The following is a 2,621-nucleotide window of genomic DNA, read 5'->3' on the forward strand; positions in this document are numbered from 1 at the left end:
ATTGCTCATTAATATCTTTCTTCTTTCAGATTGAAGAACTCTCTTTAGCATTTCTTGTAGGACAGGTCTGGTGTTGAAATCCCTCAGCTTTTGTTCGTCTTGGAAAGTCTGTATTTCTCCTTCATGTCTGAAGGATTCTTTTGTTGGAACAAAGTAAAAGTTTATCCTAAAGATAAAAGTTTTCTAGAATACAAGTTTTTCTCATTCAGCACTTTAAATATGTCATGCCACTCTCTCCTGGCCCATAAGGTTTTCACTGAGAAGTCTGCTGCCAGATATATTGGAGCTCCATTATATGTTATTTGTATCTTTTCTCTTGCTGCTTTTAGGGTCCCTTTTTATCCTTGTCCTTTGGGAGTTTAATTATTAAATGTCTTGAGGTAGTCTTATTTGGGTTAAATCTCCTTGGTATTCTACAATTTTCTTGTACTTGAATATTGATATTTTCCCCTAGGTTTGGGATGTTCTCTGTTATTGTCACAGGATCCTTAGGGTGTCACTTTTCCAGCTCAAAACCTCTGTGGTTGGTGGTGCTTTTGCCTGAGTTTTGCTCGGGCCCACTGGGCTCATTCCACCCACTCAGCCCAGCAGGCTGTGCTTGGGTCACACTATCAGCCCAGATCCCACACCTGCCAAGGGCAAGCCAAGCATGGAGCGGTGAGGAGTGTGTGAGTGAGTGCGGAGTTTGGCCACTGTGCACAGACAGGCATGCCAGCTGTGGCAGGGTAGGTAGCTCCAGGAGCCAGCACAGGCACTGGCTCCCTCCAAGGCTGCGGCTGGACCAGGCGTACCACAAGCAGCTTCCAATGTGGGCACTGGGAAATGTGGTGGCACTCAGAAGCTTGGAGATGCCAAGAACTGCAGAGCCCCAAAGAGGGTGTCACAGCCCTGGCTCGAGGAGCTCCTAAGTCTAGGCTCCCCAAAGGGCTACACCTCTTCTGTCCTCTCTTCTCTCCTCCTTGTTGACCCCAACATGGCAAGCAGGGGGCATGTATTTGACGTGTTTGTGTTACAGCTCTTTCAGTCCTGCCATCCAGTAGGTCCCAAGTTCTTATCCTGCATCCAGGGAGAATGGAGTACATAGACAACTGGAGGGTGAGCAAGGTGGAGAGGAGCTTCATTGAGTGACAGAACAGCTCTCAGGAGACCCAAAATGGGTAGCTCCTTTCCACAGCCAGGTCATCCAGAGGAGTGTCCAGCTCTCAGCGGAGAGGAGATCCAGAGTGTGTAGCTCCTACCCACAGGCAGATCATCCCAATGAGTGTCTAGCTCTCAGCAGAGAGGAGACCAGGAGTGGGTAGCACATTTCCACAGGCAGGCTGTCCCTACAAGCTGAGGAGATCCAACATAGGTAGCTCCTTTCCACAGTGGGTAGTCAGCCATCTGTGTGAGTCTGGCTGAGTCTTGGGTTTTTATGGGCTCAGAAGGGAGAAAGTGCATGCTGATTGGTCCATGGGCAGCCATGAATAGGCCTGGAAAAAGCATTGTAAGTTCTCACTCTGGGCCACGGACTCCATCTGGAGCTGGCAGCCCAGACCCCAGGCTTCAGGTGGTCCCTGGCTTGAAGGTGGAGTTTCACCAGGGACCCGCCCCTTTCTGCCCAGGAGCCTGTCTGCCTCCTGCCGCCATCAACATTCCATCCACAGGGCCCAGGCTGTTTGTGTCAAGGGGTTCCTGCAGGCCCACGCCAAGCTGCCTGCAGCACCCCCCACCAGCCTCCTTCCCATGTTCATCGCCACCCAGAGTCCAGTGGGGGCTGAGGCGGCAGGGGGTTGGCGTGTCGGTGCCGCCCCAAGTGCACGCACACCTGGCTGAGTCACGACAGTACCTGGGCTCAGCCACAGCTTTGCTCTGCTCTGGAGTGGGAGCCAGGAGTGGAGAGAGGCCAGGGAGCAGGAGCAGACACTTCCGAGCCTGTGGGGAAAGAGCCCACAAGAGCGCAGGGATGCTCAGGTCGGGAGCCAGGGCTGGGCGGCAGCAGCGGTGCCCAGGAGCATGGGCTCCTGCTCCACCAATTCAGTAGGGGACAAGGCTCTCACCTGTTCCCAGCTCCCACCAGCGCCACAGAATGCACAACCCCGCTGCACCTCCCCTGCTGCAAGTGGTGTCTTCATAACAGCTGCTCCAGACTGGCCACTGCTGCCATCATTATTATTCCTTTGAATAAACTTCCTACCTTTTTCTGTCTCCCTACCTTCTCTTTAAGATCAATAACTCTTAGATTTGCCCTTTTGAGGTTATTTTCTAGATCTTGTAGGCATGCTTCATTTTTTTTTTTGGTCTCTTCTAACTGTGTATTTTCAAATAGCCTGTCCTCAAGTTTACTCATTCTTTCTTCTGCTTGACTAATTCTTCTGTTAAGAGACTCTGATGCATTCTTCAGTACGTAAATTGTATTTTCGGCTCCAGATTTCTGCTTTATTCTTTAACTATTTCAACTTATTTGTTAGACTTATCTGATGGGATTCTGAACTCCTTCTCTGTGTTAAATTGGATTTCATTGAGCCTCCTCAAAACAGCCATTTTGAACTCTATGCCTAAAAGGCCACATATCTCTGTCTCTCCAGAATTGGTCACGGGTGCCTTATTTATTAATAGTTCCTGTGGTGAGGTCATGTTTT

The 2,621-nt window shown here is 50.2% G+C and overlaps 1 annotated feature.

Moving 5' to 3' along the window:
• Nucleotides 1,250–1,750: an enhancer, noted in NCBI's record as "H3K4me1 hESC enhancer chr10:113999878-114000378 (GRCh37/hg19 assembly coordinates)". NCBI's record gives its function as "activates a minimal SCP1, AML or CMV promoter by ChIP-STARR-seq in naive H9 embryonic stem cells {active_cell/tissue: H9 hESC(naive)}" and the evidence as "EXISTENCE:reporter gene assay evidence [ECO:0000049][PMID:30033119]".

Source organism: Homo sapiens, chromosome 10, assembly GCF_000001405.40.
Source record: "Homo sapiens chromosome 10, GRCh38.p14 Primary Assembly".
NCBI lineage: Eukaryota > Metazoa > Chordata > Mammalia > Primates > Hominidae > Homo > Homo sapiens.